The sequence below is a fragment of the Homo sapiens genome, chromosome 10, assembly GCF_000001405.40.
Source record: "Homo sapiens chromosome 10, GRCh38.p14 Primary Assembly".
In the NCBI taxonomy this organism is placed as follows: Eukaryota; Metazoa; Chordata; class Mammalia; order Primates; family Hominidae; genus Homo; species Homo sapiens.
Genome location: NC_000010.11, coordinates 28,269,225 through 28,290,886, shown reverse-complemented (window position 1 = coordinate 28,290,886; position 21,662 = coordinate 28,269,225). Strand labels below are relative to the sequence as shown.

Genomic DNA, 21,662 nt, shown 5'->3' with positions numbered 1-21,662 from the left:
AAAAACAGTTCAATTCATATCAGTAATGGGCATTAAGATTCTAGGTGAGTTACTTCTTTCACGTGTTAGTCTGTTTTCCTAAAATCCTTTTTGTTTAATAAGAAAACTGATTGGGGCCGGGCGTGGTGGCTCATGCCTGTAATCCCAGCACTTTGGGAGGCTGAGGTGGGTGGATCACCTGAGGTCAGGCGTTCGAGACCAGTCTGACCAATGTGATGAAACCCCATCTGTACTAAAAATACAAAAGTTAACTGGTTGTGGTGGCATGCGCCTGTAATCCCAGCTACTCGGGAGGCCGAGACAGGAGAATCGCTTGAACCTGGGAGGCAGAGGTTTCAGTGAGTCGAGATTGTGCCATTGCACTCCAGCCTGCGCAACAAAAGCGAATCTCTTATCTCAACAAAACAAAACAAAATCTGATTAAAAATGACTTTATAATAAGCTGGGATGGGGAGGTGGGGCAGTTGCAGATAAAGTAAGACTGGCCATAAATTGAAGGTAGGTAAGAAGTTCAAGAAGTTTCCTTGTAGTATTATACTCTTTCCTCCAGTTTAGTATATGCTGGAAATACTCTCTATGTTAAAAAAAAAAAAAAAAAAAGGAAAGTAAAAAGACTGTAATTCGTGAGTGGGGCCACTTAGTAAAGGATATAGGGCATCAATACAAGGCATACTTTTATTTTGTTATTGCTCCAAGAGAAACTAATAGAAGATCTTTATGTACTGTATGTATCAATAGTAGCGTAATAGCATTAGAAATCAATGGTTTGGCTGGGCTCAGTGGCACACGCCTGTAATCCCAACACCTTGGGAGGTCGAGGCAGATGGATGGCCTGAACTCAGGAGTTTGAGACCAACCTGGGCAACATAGTGAAACCCCATCTCTACAAAAAATACAAAAATTAGCTGGACGTGGTGGCACATGCCTATGGTCCCAGCTACTTGGGTGGCTAAGATGGGAGCATTGCTTGAGCCAGGGAGGCGGAGGTTGCAGTGAGCCGAGATTATACCACTGTACTCCAGCCTGGGTGACAGCATGAGACTCTGTCTCAAAGAGGAAAAAAATAAAATCAATGTTTCGGCCTTTTTGGGAAGAAGTAAATCATTATCTGTCATGTGGCTTACTGTAGTGACTTCTCTGCTCTTGCCCCTGCCCCTAAAACCTTTTCTCCATTTCTCCACCCAAAGCCCAGAGTGGGTTCGGGTGGATCCTGTCACTCATTTGCTCAGAACCTTGCCGTTTCACGCAGATTCAAGGGCAAAGTCTCCATAGTGGCCCACTCACCTTAGACACTGTATTTGTGAGCTCTTGGCCACACATCTCTTAAACACGCAAAAAAATATTGGAGAGCTGAGACTGCACTTCTTGCCCCAGTTCTTAAGATTTAAGTGACTTTTGTGTTAAGTCTGGTCCTGAAGAATTTACCAGTCTGTTAAAAAGGCAGAGATTTCTGTTGGTTGGGATGGCTGTTTTGATATTTCTTGAGTTAACCAGAGGAGGAAGCGCACGGGAAACAGTTCATCTCAGCTTCCTTAATCCACTAGTCTGCTAGTCTGGACTGATATGGTTAGCTTTTTTTTTTTTTTGAGATGGAGTCTGGCTCTGTTGCCCAGGCTGGAGTACAGTGGCATGGTCTTGGCTCACTGCAACCTCCGCCTCCTGGGTTCAAGCGAGTCTCCTGCCTCAGCCTCCTGAGTAGCTGAGACTACAAGTGTGTGTCACCACACCTGGCTAATTTTTTGTATTTTCAGTAGAGACGAGGTTTCACCATTTTGGCCAGGCTGGTCTCGAACTCCTGACCTCAAATGATCCGCCCACCTCGGCCTCCCAAAGTGCTGGGATTACAGGTGTGAGCCACCATGCCTGGCCTGGTTAGCTATTTTTGAGACCAGAATCTCAAGAAAGAGGTATGTGCTGAGCTAAGAAGGAAAAAGTGCTGCTGACTTCCCCCACCCGAGGTCTTCTAACCTCACACCCGAGCCTAATACAAAATATTCTGCTCATAAGGCCCTTTCTCAGGATGGCTGTGGCTGGTGGTTCTTGGTGCTCTAGGCCAGACATTGGGCTCTGCTGAGCTTCCAACTTTTAGCGTTTGTTCAAACAGGAACTCAAAGAATAAGGTAATTCCTGAAGGCTCACTTGAACAAGCACAGCCTTGACCTCAGCTCCATATCCTTGGAGCTGCAGTTTTCAGACTTGTTTCAGTACCGCTTCACGCTCTTAACAATTATTAAGGACCTCAAAGACCTTTGCTTTACATGAGTTATATCTATCAATGTTTACCATATTAGAAATATAAGTGGGAAATTTTAGAGTATTTATGAATTCAATAAAACATAATAACCTGGCTGGGTGTGGTGGCTCATTCCTGCAATCCCAGCACTTTGGGAGGCCGAGGTGGGACGATCACTTGAGGCCAGGAGTTCGAGACAAGCCTGGGCAACATAGTGAGACTTTGTCTCTACAAAAAATTTAAAAAATTAACAGGATATGGTAGTGTGCACTTGTGGTCCTAGCTACTTGGGAGGCTGAGGCAGGAGGATTGCTTGAGCCCAGGAGGTTGAGGCTGCAGTGTACCATGATCACACCACTGCACTCCAGCCTGAGTGACAGAGCGAAACCCTGTCTCATAAAAACTAAAAATCAAAACATAATAACCCTTTTGTATATGAACATAAATAATACTTCTGTATGAAAAATACCTTTACAAAGATAGTTTAGGGAAAGAGTGGTGGTGGTTTACATTTTTGCGGTTCTCTATAACGTCTGGTTTCGTAGAAGCAGCTGGATTCTCATAACTGCTTCTGCATTCAATCTGTTGTGATTTGTTGTTTGGTTGGAATATGTGAAGAAAATCCAACCTCAGGCACATCTGTAGTTGGAAATGGAGGCGTGTTTTAATAGTCTTTTCTGATAATTGTGGATATTCCCTTTGATGCTACATCAAACTCTGCAAGTGGCCATTTCTTAAAGCTTATTTGCGGTGTGGAATCTGAAACCATATCAGTAAACTTTTCTTACTTTGTTGCATTAAAATCCATTGACCTGTCTTTCATTTTGGATCTTTCTTACTCATGTATCATTTGGGAAATACTGATTCATGGAATTAAATGTTAGCACATTTTATAATACCATTAGAAAAAAATTACATTTGTTGAAATCAGCGGTCATCTCTTGAAAAGTCTTCTTCCCCTCCAGCTTTATTGAGATATAATTGGTATACAAAAACCTGCATATAATCAATGTATAGAATTTGTTGAGTTTGGACAAATGTATACACTCCTGTATTTGGCATTATAAAATGTGCTAACATTTATTTCCATGAGCCAGTATTTTCCAAATCATGCATGAATAAGAAAGATCCAAAATGAAAGAAAGACCAATGGATTTAAATACCACAAAGTGAGAAACATTCACTCATATGGCTCCATATTCCACATTGCAAATAAACTTTATATTACATTTACCATCTCCACAATCCAGGTGATAAACGTGTCCATCACCTCCAAAGTTTCCTTGTGTCTTTGTGTTTTATTTTTATTTTGTGTATTAAAAACACTTAACATGAGATCTACCCTCTACAAATTTTTAAGGACACAATACCGTCTTATTAACCGTCTGCATATTGGGAAAGCTGTCACACTCTTGGTGGCAGATACAATTTTTCCAAGTATCTAATTTTTGTTTGAAGGCTTGACTTTTATCATTGGCAACAAATAGGTCAGTTATTATTTTTTTTTGAAGCAACAGGCTAATTTTGCGTTTGAGAAAGTGTGTGCCAAATACCCAACTTTAAATACTAATACTTTTAGTTTTTATTTCATGTAAAAATGATATTCTATAAACAAAAACTGCTAGTTCAGCTTGTTGATCAAACGGTTGGCATAAATTCTTTTCCTTCAGGCAACCTCCATACTTCAGTATGCCGCACAGCTCCTTCATGTGAACTTTCCTATTTCAGCACAAAGAATATTAAAAAGGTCAAAAGGGCACATACTCAGGGGTTGAGATTTCATGCAATTGCTAATGTTCACTGTTTCATCAAGGATATTTTTATATGAAACCGTCCTTTTTTTTTCCCACTGTGAGTTCGCAGTGGTCATGAGGACCTATACTGGTGGTGCCACTGTCTTGATTTGTGCTAAGGGGCCAGCAATTTTATACACCCTTGCTTTGATCATCAGTGCTTCCTGTCAGCCTATGAAAGTTGTGAATGACCTGTTTGCATTATTATAATGATAATTTTGATGTCATGGACGTCCTGAAAGGTGCCTGAGGACCCCCAGGGTGTCTTGGAGCACTTTGAGAACAGCTGGTGCCAGTTCAGTTGAAAGTGGGCTCCTCACAGTGATCTGTCTCCTCTGAGGTTGCTCAACTGCATCCAGCTTCTTCTTTGCTTATTACTCCTAAAGCTGTCATTTTAGAAGCAGGGACCAGTTACTTCTTGGCTCAGCTGTGCTGTAGTTTTCCAAGTGAAAGGAAGTTTAGTAACGCTAGGAAAGAAATTTTTATTTTTTTATTTTTTATTATTATTTTTTTTTGAGGTGGAGTCTCGCTCTGTTGCCCAGGCTGGAGTACAGTGGCGTGATCTCGGCTCACTGCAAGCTCTGCCTCCCGGGTTCACGCCATTCTCCTGCCTCAGCCTCCTGAGTAGCTGGGACCACAGGCGACCACCACCATGCCTGGCTAATTTTTTCTGTATTTTTAGTAGAGACGAGGTTTCACTGTGTTAGGCAAAATGGTCTCGAACTCCTGACCTTGTGATCCGCCCACCTCGGCCTCCCAAAGTACTGGGATTACAGGCATGAGCCACCATCCCGGGCGAAAGAAAATATTTTTGAGATAGGCAACTCCTGACCTGTACAAAGTTGTACATTTTGTTGTCTTACACAATAAATAAGCACATCCATAAACATGCTTGTACTTGATAGACTTTCCTCATCTTTTAAGATGAAGATAATCACAAAGAGAACATGAAGAAAGTTATGTTCATTTATCAAAAAGTACTTGTTTGGTTATCATAATTAAATAAAAAAAAAAACAGGCTACCACCTGTTGTAATGCTTTTTGTTTAATGAATGGTTTAACATGTTCTTTTGTTCTTTTAATGCCTGTAAATAGTAATCAGATCTTGATTTGATTCAGTTTCTATTTTTTTTGGCAAAACTACTTCGTAGGTGGTGGCCTGTACTTCTCACCCCAGTCAGGTAATATTGGTTGTCTCACTTTTTGTAGTGTTCATGACCATTGATAACCATTGCCTAGATCCATTATTTTATCAAGGGTTTGCAAAATGGTGATATTTTTATTGTTTTCCTGTTTTAGTTATTAGAATATTTTTATGAAGAGAAACTTCCCCTCATCAACTCTTTGAGATCTAGTTAGTACAGAAAAGGTAGGTTGGCTGGGCACAGTGGCTCACACCTGTAATCCTAGCACTTTGGGAGGCCGAGGTGGACGGATCATCTTAGGCCGGGAGTTGGAGACCAGCCTGACCAACACAGAGAAACCCCGTCTCTACTAAAAATACAAAATTAGCTGGGTGTGGTGGCGTGTTGCCTGTAATCCCAGTTACTGGGGAGGCTGAGGCAGGAGAATCATTTTAACCCAGGAGGTGGAGGTTGCAGTGAGCCAAGATTGCGCCATTGCACTCCAGCCTGGGCAACAAGAGCGAAACTTCATCTCAAAAAAAGAAAAGGTAGGTTAAATGCCTGATTCTTTTTTGTTTTTGTTTTTAACATCAGTTTTCAATATTATGAGCTGGTCTCTTAGATTAGTCCCTTAGAACAGGACTGTTCAGGTTGTGTAAATTAAATTGGTCTCTACAGCATTTTTGTTGGAAACACCAAGCTAAATTGTCTGGTTTTTAGAAGCAAATCTAAAGGAAACTATTAATAGAAAAGTCATTTTGTTCTATTCTGAAAGTAGCTTAATTCACTTGAAATAAAAAAATAATGGCTGAGACATCTTGGGGCTGTTAAATGGGAATAAAAAAATTAAAACACTTGTTCTTGTCTTTAGAATGATGTATTCATTGCATGTCATTATCCTTTTATGTATCTTATATTGTATTCTGAGATCAGATTCAAAAATGTATAAAGCATCCTTGCCTTCAAGGTTCATAATAGAGTAAGTGAAAAGTTGACCTCTGTTCTTGTTACATTGATTTGTTACAATCATTCCATGGGTGGAATGCAAACAAAAGTTCTATTTACTCCAATATTCCCCCCACTTTAAAATTCATAATTTTGAGAAATGTCTGATAGACAATAAGATAAAGTTTTCTTCGGAAAAAATGGAAGCAGTCAGTGAAACCTATTATGTAGAGGGGGCAGTCAGATGAGACTGAAGAGGTCCTATTGGAATTAGGGTGAGAGGAGAAAGGAAGGGAAGGCAACTTTCTTCAGTCTTCAGCTGCAGACTTCACTGGCTTCTTCCTGCTAATGCTGCCTGTGACTTGAAACAGGTCCTCCTGCTTCAGGCCAGACCTGTTTTTAAGCTGCTGCTCCCTCCCTGAATTCCTTCTCATGATTTGAGTGATTACTGAATACACAAGACTTGGTGCCTAGACAACAGAAGATTATATAAATGTCTGTGTACATTTGTGTACCCCTCCTGGGAACCAGTTAACAGCTGTCCTTGATCAGCAGGGATCTTGGTGACACTGGTTTTTCCTGTGTGCTTCCTTTCATGTGCATTTCAGAGTGGTATCCTCAGTAAAGTACTTTACTTAATCATTGGTGTTCATACCAACTATTAATCTCACCACCAAGATCTGTTCAGTTGTTTTCAGTTCAGTGTCTTACACTTAATAAATGATTTCAGTTGTTTTCAGTTCAGTGTCTTACACTTAATAAATGATAACTAAAGTGATTTTGACTTGGCTTCTGTTATCCTGGGTGCTTCTAATTTCCAGATGGGTCTGAAACTGGGTATTTAAATTTAGTCTTATTTTTGCATATGGAGCTAAAAGTATCCTTTGGGACAGGCTGTGTATGATATGGCAAGTCTGCTTATCAAAATAGACATTTTCCTGTCTAATAACAATTTTGGATGGAAAAAAAGCTTTGGGGGCTGGGCGTGACGGCTCACCCCTGTAATCCCAGCATTTTGGGAGGCCGAGGTGGGTGAATCACTTGAGGTCAGGAGTTTGAGACCAGCCTGGCCAACATGGAGAAACCTCGTCTCTACTAAAAATACAAAAATTAGCTGGGCGTGGTGGCGGGCGCCTGTAATCCCAGCTACTTGGGAGGCTGAGGCAGGAGAATAGCTTGAACCCAGGAGGCAGAGGCTGCAGTGAGCTGAGATTGCGCCACTGCACTCCAGCCTGAGTGGAAGAGTGAGACTCTGTCTCACAAAAAACAAAAGCTTTGGAATGTTTTAATAGAGTGGTATGAACTTGGTGTTTACAGATTAAGAGCGGTCATTTCTTGGTTCTTTACAGTATGCCAGGTGCTGTGTTATGCAAACCCTCCCTAGATGTCCATGCTTAATTCAGCTCTTTGAGTATTCCATTTACATTTACAAGTAGAAAAATGGAGTCAGGGAGAAGTTAGGTAATTTGCCTTTGGGGTCATATAACTAGGAACTGGTAGAGCCAGGATTCAAACCCAGGTTACCCATTCTCCTATACATCAGAGACCAGTGTGTAAGAACTGTAGGATTTGAATTCATATTGGAAATTTCCTCCCCTTTATGGATCTTTAATCTTTCTTTCTTTGGCTCCTTCACATAATTTGGATAAGCACAAGTTTCACCTATTTTGGCCAGTGCCTTAAGTTACTCCACCAACGTGCACCTCTTCCCAGGAGAAGACTGGGTCACATTGAAAAGTAGCCCACTGCAGGCATGACATTGTTATGAAATTTTATGTTTCATGTAAAAGATTAAAAGTTACTTTCCACTGTGCGCAACTGACACACCAGAAAAAGGTATCTTTTTTTAATGCCTACCCCTATCCACACACCGTACCTCAGGTTGAGACACAGGCTATAGAACTTTCCAGTCATGTCATAATCATATATGGAGTTCAGTTAATTCACTATGTTGTTGTTGTGGGGGTCAGGTTGGGAGGAGGTCACCGACACAGAACAAGCAGGCAATAGCGAGGGGTTGAACTGAGGAGTAACACAGATCCGAACAGTGTAAGGGAGAAGATTTGATGACTGGAGATGGGGAGCTTAGTTCCTCCATTTCTGGTTTCTTCTTGGTTTCTGCCACTGTTTTTCTTTACGCTCCTGTCCTTTAATTGTGGGAGTGTCTTCAGTCCTTTTCCCACTTACTCACCCCCACCGCCCCAATTGTGCGTTTGCCCATTGTCTTGGTTTCAGCTCTCATTTCTGTCTGAGTGGCTTCTAAACTGCCTGTGGCTTTAATGAGCTCCAGTTCAGTGAATCCACCTGAGCCCTAATTTGCTGTAGCAAATTTGCAGTTGCTCAGTGGCTATATCCTGGATATTTGAATGTCTCAGAGTGAGTACGTTTGATTTTAACCGCTCTTCCTCCAAAGCCAGCTGTAAGCATTTTTAAGTGGTACACAAATTGATAGGAAGAGAACATTCCCAGATCCACTGTAGATGAGGCTCAGGTTCCTATTTTATCAGCCAAGGTTGCTGAACTGCCCTGGAAGCGGGCAGCCACATTTGCTGGAAAAGAGACAATATACTGAGGTGTAGTTTTCTCTGGCCCCTTGGTGCCCTGTGAGGCACACAGCTGTCTGTGATAATGTCAGAGATTACATCACAGTGCCAATGGAACTAACAGGAACCACCTGTGCACTTCCTTTTACAGGAATGTTCATAAACAGCAGGTTCTCCTAGGCTTTGAACAAAATTTAGCTTCTCCAAGGCCAAAAGCCTCATTGTGAAGAGAAAGAAAGGTGGGTGTTCTTCTTAACGATGACTCTGCTTGTAGCCTTCCAGTGTCCTGCAACGCTGGTTTCCACAGCTGTCTTCCTTGCTTAATTGGTGTACACTGCCCTCGGCATGCAACTGAAAACGTTAGGGCCATACGTCCTAATGGTTAAGAATGTGGACCGTAAAACTAGACATGTTGGCTTCTAAATTCCAGCCCTGCTTATTGCTGGTTTTATGAATTTAGACAAGTTATTTATTCTCTCCAAACCTCCATTTTCTTAACTGAAACAGGCTAATTAGAGTACCTACCACAAAAGTTGGTAGTGAGAATTAAATCCGATAACACATTAGAAGTATTTAGTGCAGTGCCTGGCACATACCAAAGGTCAGTAAATGCTAATTGCTATTATTAATTAACAGTATTGTTGGTAAATACCCTAAAAAAGCTGTTTTTATTTTTTCTGTCTCTGCTATCTGGTCAATAACCTGATATTGTCATCTCTTCCTACTCATAGAATCTCATGTTGTCATTTGTCTCTCTGAGTTACTGCTGCTACCTTCTTTGAGCAGATACTCATTACCACTTCATTGTGTGTACAGAATGTTGGTACAGAAGTCATCTTCCTTTTTAGAAATGACCATTAGGCCTGGTGCAGTGGCTCACGCCTGTAATCCCAGCACTTTGGGAGGCCGAGGTGGGTGGATCACTTGAGATCAGGAGTTTGAGACCAGCCTGGCCAATGTGGCAAAACTCCATCTCTACTAAAAATACAAAAAATACAAAAATTTGCCAGGTGTAGTGGCGTGCGCTGGTAATCCCAGCTACTTGGGGGTCTGAGGCAGGAGAATTGCTTGAACCTGGGAGGCAGAGGTTGCAGTGAGCAGAGATTGCACCACTGCATTCCAGCCCCGGTGACAGAGTGAGACCCTGTCTCAAAAAAAAGAAAGAAAAAAAAAGAAGAAATGACCATTTATTCTTTGGATCTACTCTACCACACTGAGTCTAAATTACTCAGTTTGCCTTTCAAAGCCTGTCATATTGAGGCCTGTATATGGTATTTTCCATTACTCTTGTTTTTCTTTTACATACCCTCCACTCTAGTCAGACACAGGAATGTGTACAAGGCATGCATTTTTCTTTCTCTTTTTGTCTAAATTGGCACCCTGTATTGCTTTGCCAGGCACATGCCCATTTGTCTCTCATGGGACAGTTTTGACCCTGTTATGTGGAGGTCGCATGTGACCTTTGTCTGGCCTGCGCTTTCCCAGGGTCTGAGATGATCAGGGTCTTGGCTGTTGCACCTCCTCTAGGCTGCGCCCTAGCCTGCCTTTAGGAGTCTAGATTCTGGGAAACTTTATTACTCTGTTGCTATTTATTAATCTGGAGTCAAGAGTACTAGAAATCACACCATTTTTTTTATGCCTAAGCCCTGTTAAAAGGAATTCTGTTCCTGAAATTTGGACTGCATATGACATCACTATACCGTCAGGCCCCTGTATGCATGGGTTCTGCATCAGGGAATTCAACCAACTGCAGATAAAAAATACTAACAAAAAAATGAATGGTTCTTTCTGTACTGAATATGTCCAGGCTTTTTTTCTGTCATGATTCCCCAAACAATATAACAACTATTTACATAGCATTTGCATTGTATTAGGTATTGTAAGTAATCTAGAGATGATTTAAAGTGTGCAGGAGGATATGCACAGGTTATTTGCAAACACTGGGTTATTTTATATCAGGGGCTTGAGAATCAGTAGGTTTTGGTATCGGGAGACTTTTCGCCCACATATACAGAGGAACGACTGTATAACTTCTTTATATCGTATTGTTCCTAAAACAAATCTAGAGCAGGTACACAGTAATGTTCCCTTTATTTTTGTCCTGTTAGGTATAGCAGTCTTGGCAGTTGCTGAACTGAATTCCTGGCTGGTAAGAAGTGTAGTCAAATATGAATGAGCATGCATTCATCCTTGTTCTCTGTAATGGCTCATTGTCCTGGTTTACCAGTGGTGGCTTGGGCACATTAGGGAGGCAGAGACCTTCCTAAGTGGTTGCCCCATTCAGATAGCCTCATCTCACACATCAAGTTCTTACCTTGGCTCATGACAGTCATAATAATTCTAAGGGATCATTCAGCCACAGTTTAGACTTGATTTTTCTTGTGTTTGATGGTGGGAACATTTTAAGACTAAGAAATTGAGTGGAAGAAAAATTAATAGACGTGTCTTTGAAGGTAGGAATTCCGTCCTTAAACTTACATCCCTGATGCCTGTGCGGAATAAGTGATATTGAAAGAATGCATGGAGTTCTTTTTTTTTTTTTTTGAGACAGCGTCTCGCTCTGTCACCCAGGTTGGAGTGCAGTGACGCAATCTCAGCTCACTGCAACCTCCACATCCTGGGTTCAAGTGATTCTACTGCCTCGGCCTCCTGAGTTGCTGGGATTATAGGCATGTGCCACCATGCCCAGCTAATTTTTGTATTTTAGTAGAGATGGGGTTTCGCCATCCTGACCTCAGGTGATCCACCCGCCTCGGCCTCCCAAAGTGATGGGATTACAGGCATGAGCCACTGCGCCTGTCCGAAATTCTTAAAGAGCATGCTGTGCATTTCTGTAGTGAGCCAATGACAAACCCGAAAGACCAATCAGAGATTCACCTCTTAGAAGGAAAAAGATCCACTAACCTGCAGAACGTCTCTATCGGTGACTTGAGGAAGGACTTGGAAAGGGAACAGGGAGAATTAAGGGTTAGGAAGGAAGGCATGGATTTATTTGGGAGAACTTTTAGTAGCTTCGTCCTTCTGAATCTTCCTCTTAGCTTCCTTAGGAGATACTGAGCCTTAGTGCCCTTGCCTAGTTGCTGCCACTGGAGAACTTGCCCGTAGCTCAGGCCCACCCTGTAGATTCACTCTGGGAGATCAAACCAGCATTTAGATCTGCTAATTATGCCATTTCTATTTCAAGAAATACGTTGAGTCCAAAATAGAGATTGACTGCTTGCTTCACCCTGTTCACCCTGGAGTTATTCAGGCAGAATATGTCAGATATGTTTCATGTGATATCTTCATTAGGCAAGAGATATGGATCCTTTTCTTTCCTTCTTTTTTTAATTTGGGTAACATTTCAGAAATAATGAATGGCAAAGAGAACGCAATAAATGACCTTTACCTCCATTAACATTTTGGTGTTTTTTTTTTTTCAGATTAAAAAAAATGGAATAAATGAAATGTTACGGATAACGTTTGAAATATACTTTGTTCCCCTTTCCAGTTTTATTTCCCTCTCTTCTCAGAAGTAGTTAATATGAATTTGTATATATCCTTTTATCTTTTTCTAAATTTACTTTTACTATATATGAATATTTCCTTAAGGACCTATACAGTGTTACATGTTCATTAACATAAATGATACACTGTGTGTTTCATTCTGTTACTTGCTTTTAAAAATCTATCATTTTGATAATATCTAGCCATGATGATATAGAGACCAGATGACATTTTAGTTTTTTGTGGTGTCTTCAGGTGTTTTCTGTAAGTACCTGGTTGCTCATGTAAATCCATCAGTACCTCTAACATTTCCTAAAAATCTTTGTTTGTATGCCTTAAATTGATTAGGAATTTAAAAATGGATACCACCAGTAAGTCGAAAGTCTGATGTTTGGTGGAAACTTCCATATGCAATTTAGCAGGCTGTCTCAATATTTTGTGTTCCAAAAAGATGCTGCGAAGATAATGCAGTGGGTATGGAATCGTTTGCAAAGGACTTGAGTAGGTGGCAGGGAGTTTTTGACTTGTACTAACATACATAGGAGTGCTGTTGCTAGGGCCACTTTGGGAACTTGTTATTGTGTGGGAAAGTGTTATGCTATTAAAAGCTTTATTTTTCTTTTTTTGGTAACAGTGTTAGTTTTCTATATTAAAACAATATTCTCTTTGGTTTAAGAAATATGCATGGATATAAAATTGTTATTTATAATATTAATCTGGCCCTGTTCTTCTAACCAAGCTTTGGTCTCATTGCCCTGGCAGCCTGTTGGACAATTTCACGTGGATAGCTCTTCATGTCACTCAAAAGATCAAAAATGGAAAAATACGTCCACTTTTTCATGGATTCCTTTTCTGTTTAGGGTACCATTATTCTTTTTGTATCTAAGATTTGGAACCGTGGACTTACCTTCGAATCCCAATACCTCTTTAATTTTTCACTTTCAGACCTGCTCTTTTCCCCTTTGACATTCTCTTGTGCGATAATCTCTTGTATTCTAATCTCATCACTATCATTCTAGTCTAATTATGCTCACTTCTGACCTAGATTACTACAGCTGCTGCTTTGCTAAGTATATATGCAGCCTTCGGTTTACCCCGTACCCTGTTATTAGGTTTTAAAGCTTTCCTTGCATAACATCATGTTTGCAGAGGACTTCTTTGTGGACTTGTAAAGGCTCTGAGGTTGCTATATTGAAACCCCAGTTCTGCCAACTGTATGACCTTAAATATGTTATAAATCAAGCCTATCCAACCTGCGGCCCATGGGCCGCATGCAGCCCAGGACGGCTTTGAATGTGGCCCAACACAAATTCCTAAACTTTCTTAAAACATTAGGAGATCGTTTTTGTGATTTTAATTTTTTAAAAAATTTATTTTTTTAATTAATTTTTTTTTTTTTGCTCGTCAGCTATCATTAGTATTAGTGTACTTTATGTGTGGCTGAAGACAATTATTCTTCTACTGTGGCCCAGGAAAGCCAAAAGATTGGACTCAGTTCCCTCATAAGTAAACTGAGACAGTAGTAATGGTATTTAGATGATAGGGTTGTAGTAGGATTGATTGATTGATTGATTTGGAGACAGGATCTTGCTGTGTCTCCCAGGTAGAAGTACAGTGACACTGTCACGGCTTACTGCAGCCTTGACCTCCCAGGCTCAAGCTATCCTCAGCCTCCTGAGTAGCTGGGAGCACAGACGTGTGTCACCAAACCAGGCTAATGAATTTTTTTTTTTGTAGAGGCAGCATCTCACTATGTTGTCCAAGCTGGTCTCAAACTCCTGGGCTCAAGTGATCTTCCTGCTTTGGCTTCCCAAAGTGCTGGGATTATAGGCAAGAGCCACCACACCTGGCCTGTAGAAGGTTTTAAATCAGAGAATATGTGTCAAGTCCTATAGCTGGCACAGTCAAACGATAGGGCTATTATTCCTAATCCTATCAAGTCTTAATCCCTTTACCCAGATCCCATTGTTCTTCACATTGTGCTGTTCTCAAAATATTCAGCTTTAAACTTTTCCAAACATAAACCTGTTCTGTGATCAGATCAGTGACTTTGTCCTTTGATTCTTCTCCCTTCATATCAAACCTACGTGTGCATGACTTGCGCTCCTGAAAACAAACGCACCCATGTGTGATGCCTCCCTAGTTTTTCATCTGTAGTGTCTTCTGTTTTGTTTACATTCTATTGATCCTTTAGTAATCCGACTCAAAGACTCTTACAGTGATATAGTGTTCTGTTTGTCTTTATGTAATTTCATCTTGTTTGTTTGCTACCTTGTATATAGAAGCTATTTCTCATCTCAGCTGTAAATCCCATCTGGGCTGGACTATATTAGATTACTTTGGTAGCCTAACCAATGCTAAAATTTATTAATGTCTTCATAATAGCTTGCTACTTGGTAATGTTTATACTTGTTGTAAAAAGCATGTGACAAGGCCAGGCACGGTGGCTCATGCCTGTAATCCCAGCACTCTGGGAGGCCGAGGCGGGTGGATCACCTGAGGTCAGGAGTTCGAGACCAGTCTGGCCAATATGGTGAAACCCCGTCTCTACTAAAAATACAAAAATTAGCTGGGTGTGGTGGTGGGCGCCTGTAATCCCAGCTACTTGGGAGGCTGAGGCAGGAGAATCGCTTGAACCCGGGAGGTGGAGTTTGCAGTGAGCTGAGATCATGCCACTGCACTCCAGCCTGGACAACAGAGCAAGACTCCATCTCAAAAAAAAAAAAAAAAAAGTATGTGATGGCCTTTTTGGTCAAGAGGATGGGTGAGTATTCATCTTTATTGCAGACCTACTATGTGCTAGGTTCTCCAAGAGGTATAATGATTATGAGATACATAAGGTTTCTGCACAGATACACACATATCCACAATTTTTTAACTTAAAGATTGCTCTTTAAAATTGCTGTGTAACCAGTGAGTTGGAGACCTATCATAATGGCTCTGTCGTGAGATTGGTTGGGAGGTTGTTCAGGTGTTTGAGAATAGTGGCTTGGACTGGCATGTTGGTGGTAATGCAGATGTAGGGAAGAAGACTGATTCAAGAAATATTAGGAAGGGGTTGGGCATGGTGGCTCAAGCCTGTACTCCCAGCATTTTGGGAGGCCGAGGCAGGTGGATCCCTTGAGGTCAGGAGTTTGAGACCAGCCTGGCCAACACTGTGAAATGTCTTCTTTACTAAAAATATAAAAATTAGCCAGGCGTGGTGGTGCGTGCCTGTAATCCCAGCTACTCGGGAGGCTGAGGCAGGAGAATTGCTTGAGCCCAGGAGGCGGAGGTTGCAGTGAACGGAGATTGCGCCATTGCACTCCAGCCTGGGTGACAGAGCGAGACTCTGTATGAAAAAAAAAAAAAAGAAATATTAGGAAGGTGACAGGACACAGTGATTATTGGATGTAAGAGGTAAGGGAGAGATAGGACTCAACAGCACATCTAAGATTTCTGCCTTGGGCATCTAGGTGAATGGTCATGCCGTTCATGTAGAAGAGGGTATCCGGCAGAAGAGCACGTCTTGGGGAGGTAGTGGAAAGACATGTTCATTTTCAAACATGTTGTGTTTGAGATGCCTACACATTAAGTGAAGATGACACATGGTTATATGTTGGGTCTAGCTTAGGGACAGAGAACTGGAGATGTCAGCTTAAAGGTGATAATTGCAGCCAAATTTCTTGTTCTTTAGTGGCAGCATTTTCAGGTTCAACAATGCCTTTTACTAAATCTGGACTATGGACATTTAAGCCGATTTCATCAAGATGTATTGAATTCTGATTATAGTATTTGAATGTACTGTGTTAAGCTCTGGGCAGATACAAAGGTGAATACTGTCTAGTTTCCATCTTGAGACCTTAGAATCTAAGGATAAAATTGAACTAAAGCAAATTAAATGTGACTAGAAAGTCATATAATGAGAGTAGCTTATTTTTGCTCATTATTTGTGAAATTGATGGCATATAAAAAAAAGCCAGAGGAAGGGATGGTGATGAAGAGTTTATTTTCAGAGGCATTTAGATTTTTTAACCTTTCTGTAGCAGGAAGTAGAGAGGAAGTCATCCAGGCAGCCTCCTATGTAGTCCAGGGTTTGAGCTGTGCTATACTTTAGTCTGTGTAGTGTAGGCACTGTGTAAACACTGGGTGGATGGATATGATTGCCCTATAAATCTTTTTCATTTGTTTTGTTGGTTCTGGGAGCCAAAGAATCTTCTAATTTATTAGAGGGCTATCAGAAAATTGGTAAATTTTGTGAAACTATATTATTTATTTTGTTTCTGTGATGTTAATGTTGTGTGAAATTCTTTTGATTGTTGAAGAATATGGGCAGAGTTTAGGGAGCTTTGATAACTATAAATGTAATATTTTAAAAAAATTTTGGCCGGGCGCGGTGGCTTATGCCTGTAATCCCAGCACTTTGGGAGGCCGAGGTGGGCGGATCACGAGGTCAGGAGCTTGAGACCATCCTGGCTCCGGTGAAACCCCGTCTCTACTAAAAATACAAAAAATTAGCCGGGCGTGGTGGCTGGCTCCTATAGTCCCAGCTACTCGGGAGGCTGAGGCAGGAGAATGGCATGAACCTGGGAGGCAGAGCTTGCAGTGAGCCGAGACTGCGCCACTGCACTCCAGCCTGGGTGACAGAGTGAGACTCCATCTCAAAAAAAAAAAAAAAAAAAGAAAAAAATTTTATTTTACAGAGATGGGGTATCATGATGGTCTTGAACCCCTGGACTCAAGCAATCTGCTTGCCTTGGCCTCTCAAAGTGCTGGGATTATAGGCATAAGCCACCGTGCCCAGCCTTTGTTTGTTTTGTTTTAGAGATGGTATCTGTGTTACCCAGGCTGGACTCGAACTCCTGGGCTCAAGCAATCCTTTCAACTCAGCCTCCTGAGTAGCTGGGGCTACAAGTGTGCACCACCATGCCTGCCTTGTAGTATTTTCTAATCAACATTCTGAGATACATGCAGCTTTGATTATTTATACAGGGATAAGAATAAAAATCTGGGAGGTCTAGTGAATGCAGAACTTGACATTGTTAATGCAGAATAATTGCGTTCTGCAAAGAAGAGGAAATTCTTTCATCGTGTTTGCATTTTGTGATAGTCCTCTTGATGCAATTTGCCTTAAAGTAGCAGAAGACTTAAATTCCTTGCTTTTATAGTCTCTGAATGCTGCTCTTAAACATGAAGGTAGATGTGGGTGAGTAAGCTGGAATGTGAGAGTGGGTAGAATGTTCTCAGTTCATTGAGGTAACTCTTCTGTAGGAGAGGCTACGCCGAGCAATTGCTTATGTCTGTCTCCACTTACCTTGTAACGGCACCAATAAAGAGGACACCTAGGAAATCTTGACAAAACACCTTGATCTGAATGCCTTTAATCTTTTGTAGGCTGTGTTCTTTTTCTAGATAGAATTCTTTTGTAATTGTACCATAAGATATGGAAAAGACTTCCTGGTTAATTTAGGGCAGATTGACTTGTAGTCTCTTTTAGATGATTCCAGATTGCTTTTGAACTGTTAATACTGGCTAATACTGTTTATGGTTTAAAATAACATTTTGGGGCTGGGTGTGGTGGCTCACGCCTGTAATCCCAGAACTTTGGGAGGCCGAGGTGGGTGGATCACTTGAGGTTAGGAGTTCGAGACCAGCCTGGCCAACATGGTGAAACCCCATCTCTACTAAAAATACAAAAAATTAGCCCAGTGTGGTGGTGTGTGCCTGTAATCCCAGCTACTGGGGAGGCTGAGGCAGGAGAATCGCTTGAACCCAGGAGTGGAAGTTGCATTGAGCTGAGATCGCGCCACTACACTACAGCCTGGCTGACAAAGTGAGACTCCATCTCAAAAACAAACAAACAAACAAAAAAAACAAACCATTTTGGGTTGTTTTACTTGGTCTATAATAAAATCATTATTCTTCATAGGAAGTAGTAACAGGTGAGTAAGACTTAATAAGTAAGTGTATTAAATTTAAAAAATGACTCCAACATCTCCAGGCATCAGTATCCACATATACTTTTCCCCTCCTGTTCCATTTCTTTTTTTTTAAACTAAGAGTTTATATACATTTTTTTAAAAATCAACAGTGTATATAAAATTAAGATCCGAGCAAATCTTTATGAAAACTCAGTTAATGAAAAGGTGACGTTTAGTTGACTGAGTCATTAACTATATCTGTTGATTATTCATTAGCAATTGCTACTGGAATGAAATTACTTTCTAGAGATGTTTCTAGCCATTAAATGAAAAGCCCCAATGAAAAGCACTTCTTTTCATTATTTGAGGGTCTATCAATACCTTAATGAATTACCTCTATTTATTATTTTATATACTTATGTCTATAACTATATATGCACACACAATATATGTACAGATATAAGTAAAACTATTAAAAGTAAAATATGTGCCAAAAAGTGCACATTTAAGTGTAGAGCTTGATGAATTTTCACAAATTGGACACACCTGTGTAAATAGCACATTTTGGTATATATTTTACAAATAATTTTCCCTGGTTTTATGTAACAGGAAGAAACTTTGATCTAAGTCACGAATCTAAAAGTGCATTTTAGTTTGGCTGAAGATGGGTGAATAGTCTTACTTCAGGTATTTTTCAGGCTTAGGTGCTCATGGTCAAACTATATGGACTAGAATGTTGGGTCTTGATCATTCATTAGTCTGCCTCATTTTCAGAGGAGAATATTGAACCTTGTCTTCTTCAGCTTTTCAGAAGCTGCAGTGAGCTGGCTTTTTATTCAAACATGCATCCTTGTAAGTGCCCCAGAATCTTTTTTTTGTTTGTTTTTTGAGACAGAGTCTCGCTCTGTCACCCGGGCTGGAGTGCAGTGGCATGGTCTCGGCTCACTGCAACCTCTGCCTCCCAGGTTCAAGTGATTCTCCTGCCTCAGCCTCCCGAGTAGCTGAGACTCCAGGCACGTGCCACCACGCTTGGTTAATTTTTTGTATTTTTAGTAGAGACAGGGTTTCACTATGTTAGCCAAGATGGTCTTGATCTCCTGACCTCGTGATCCACCTGCTTCAGCCTCCCAAAGTGCTGGGATTACAGGCGTGAGCCACTGCCCCAGGCCTCACAGAAGAATTTTAATTGCCCTTAGACTGCATGTTAAGGCAGCTGCATCTGTCTATATATCTATGAATTTCAAATAGGTACTCTCCAGACATTTCCCAGGGAGTACAAACAGGGCTCCCTACCTTTCAAAATTTATGGAAATCTTGCTTGAAAGAAGCAATATTTAGGGAGGAGTGCCTGAAGGATCTGCAGTTCATACATTAGACAAGGTATTTCAAATTATGCTCCTGCATCAAGCCAGATTAGCAAGAGAACAGTGTCTTTATGTCATATTTGATTGGCATACCAACAAGCTTTTGCTGAATTTTTAGCTGGTGTGATATTAGTGGGTGTTGCAATGGCTAATACTCCAAAAATCCTGTGATAGTATTATAAATCCTGTTGTCCCAGCACTTAATGTTTTTTCTTCTCAAGTAAAACAAATGTTTTTCAGAGATGTGACTGTTGTCTGACTTTAAATGAAATATTCCTTTGGTTTCTCTGCTCCTTCCAAAAAGATAGGCAGCACATCTGCAAAGATGGAAAGATACATTGCAAATTTTGCCTAACTTCCTTTTGCCTAGAAACCATATTTGGGACCTCTTGTATTGTTTCGAATTATGCACACAAACCATTTTGATTGATATAATTCTTAAAAAAATTAAAACACACCAGTTGCTGGTCATGACAAGGTACAACAGTTCTGCCTGTAATTATTATGGGTCTAGATCAGTGTACATCACCAGCTAATTATTTAGCTTACTATTGTACTAAAAAGTCCAAAAAACAAATGGCTGGGGCAGTCCCACTGAGAGATCCCATCATCATTTAATGTCCCTGGAGGAAAGGCAACATGCGCTATTTCAAAGAACCGTGGTCTTCAGAAAGAGCTCTCAGGCTTCAAGACTCTTCAAAAACAGCAGCCTAGGCATTACAGCCAGAGGTTTCTGATGAACTCTGATTTAATAAGTTCCCCAAAGACAGTTTAACATTTTCATGCATTTTTAATGATAAATATTTTGCTTCCATTTCCTACTGCATGTTTAAGAAAACGAGGATAGAGGGCGTTGATGTTGAACAGGCGCTGCAGATAGAACTGAAGTAGGCACACGTGCCTTTCCCCACCCAGCAATAGATGTAGATTGCGCCCCCTCCCCAGCTCCCCTCCTCCCCCCCCCCCTTTTTTTTTTTTAAAGAGATAGTCTTGTTATGTTGCCCAGGCTGGTCTGGAATTCCTGCGCTCAAGTGATCCTCCTGCCTCTGTCTGCCAAGAAACTGGGACTACAGGTGGGTGCCACTGCCCTGGCTTCCTCCTACTCCCCTTCAATTAAAACAATAGTTTTAAACATGATTTAAAGCTTCTGAACTGCTGGGCTGCTGTGTATTGTGATTATAACCATGTCAATGTATTAGGCATTAGAGGAGAACCACTGTGATGTTTTGCTGAATGAAAGCATAGTCAGCAATTCTCTCTGCTGAGATTTGCCTTGACCTTAGCTTTATGCCTGTGAAAATCTTCCCGTTCCGTAAGGACTGTGTCAAACACCTCATCATCCTTCAAGCTTGTCACTCTTTTAACGCGCCATCTTAGTCTCGTGGCATTTACCAGCCTACAAGTCATTGCATGTGAAGCCGTAATGCGGTCTTGGGAATCCTGTGGTTTGGGGATACCCAGAGGCCTAGGGGATTCTGGGACTGGCTGCGGCCATGTTGCTGTTTTTAAGAGAACCAGTAAAACCAGGTCTAGACTCCACATTCCCTAACTCCAACTCAGGTCTCTTTCTGTCCTGATATCCTGTCTTTGCAGAATACCCCGATCTTAAGCACTGTCTGTTCATCAAAGTTTGAAGGAAAATGATCTAATCTTATGTACTTTGAAGTACTACTTATTAATTTTATGTTTAAAATATTCAAACATTGTACTTGGGAGGCTGAGGCAAGAGGATCGCTTGAGGCCAGGAATTAGAGACCAGCCTAGACAACATTGTGAAACCCCATCTCTAAAAAAATTTAAAAAAATTAGCTGGGTGTGGTGGTGCGTGCCTCTAGTCCCAGCTACTTGGGAGACTGAGCTGGGAGGATCACTTGAGGCCAGGAGTTGGAGGCTGCAGTGAGCTTTGATCATGCCACTGCACTCCAGCCTGGGTGACAGAGCAAGATCTCATCTCTTAAAAAAAAAAAAAAAAAGATAAAAACAAATATTCAAACTGTGAAGGTGAAGTTCTCCAGCCAATTGAAGATTTAATGTTGGTGGAGATTTACTTTAGAATGATGATGGATTGGCTTCTTTTGTGGTAATAGCTGAAGAGTTTGGGGGCATAATCACTACCCAATTTATGCTTATGCAAGGTTGGACTAGATTAGAAGAGAATTGAGTTAAAATCGACCTCAGTTTGTTGAGCATTCACTGTTGTCATCACTATCTGGGCATTGAGGCTATGGCATTGAATGAGCTAATTTGTTCTCCTTTTCTATTCTTTGCTGGAGC

At 41.0% G+C, this 21,662-nt stretch overlaps 1 protein-coding gene and 1 non-coding gene across 18 annotated transcripts in view, besides 1 other annotated feature; both read left to right on the top strand.

Moving 5' to 3' along the window:
- MPP7 (MAGUK p55 scaffold protein 7) overlaps positions 1 to 21,662 on the top strand; it is a 284,211-nt gene that overhangs the window by 44,317 nt on the left and 218,232 nt on the right. For 6 of the 17 annotated variants that reach the window (XM_047424649.1, XM_011519337.3, XM_047424648.1 and 3 more), the window contains exons 1-2: positions 8,764 to 8,877; positions 10,747 to 10,787. The exons of 6 other annotated variants lie outside the window; for them this stretch is intronic. Coding sequence is in view for 2 of the 11 variants with exons in the window: in XM_017015743.3 (XP_016871232.1) it covers positions 10,557 to 10,787 (231 nt within the window). In the remaining 9 variants the exon portion in view is untranslated. Of the gene's footprint in view, positions 1 to 8,763; positions 8,878 to 9,817; positions 10,788 to 21,662 lie in introns of those variants that run through there. 5 more of the 17 variants (XM_047424646.1, XM_047424644.1, XR_007061944.1 and 2 more) reach the window with 4 other exon arrangements.
- Positions 1,537 to 1,629, top strand: MIR8086 (microRNA 8086). The gene has a single exon (NR_107053.1). It is a non-coding gene; the product is annotated as a microRNA 8086 (primary transcript).
- Positions 14,173 to 14,467: a silencer, noted in NCBI's record as "tiled region #10737; K562 Repressive non-DNase unmatched - State 22:ReprW". NCBI's record gives its function as "represses a minimal TATA promoter and a strong SV40 promoter by Sharpr-MPRA in K562 cells {active_cell/tissue: K562}" and the evidence as "EXISTENCE:reporter gene assay evidence [ECO:0000049][PMID:27701403]".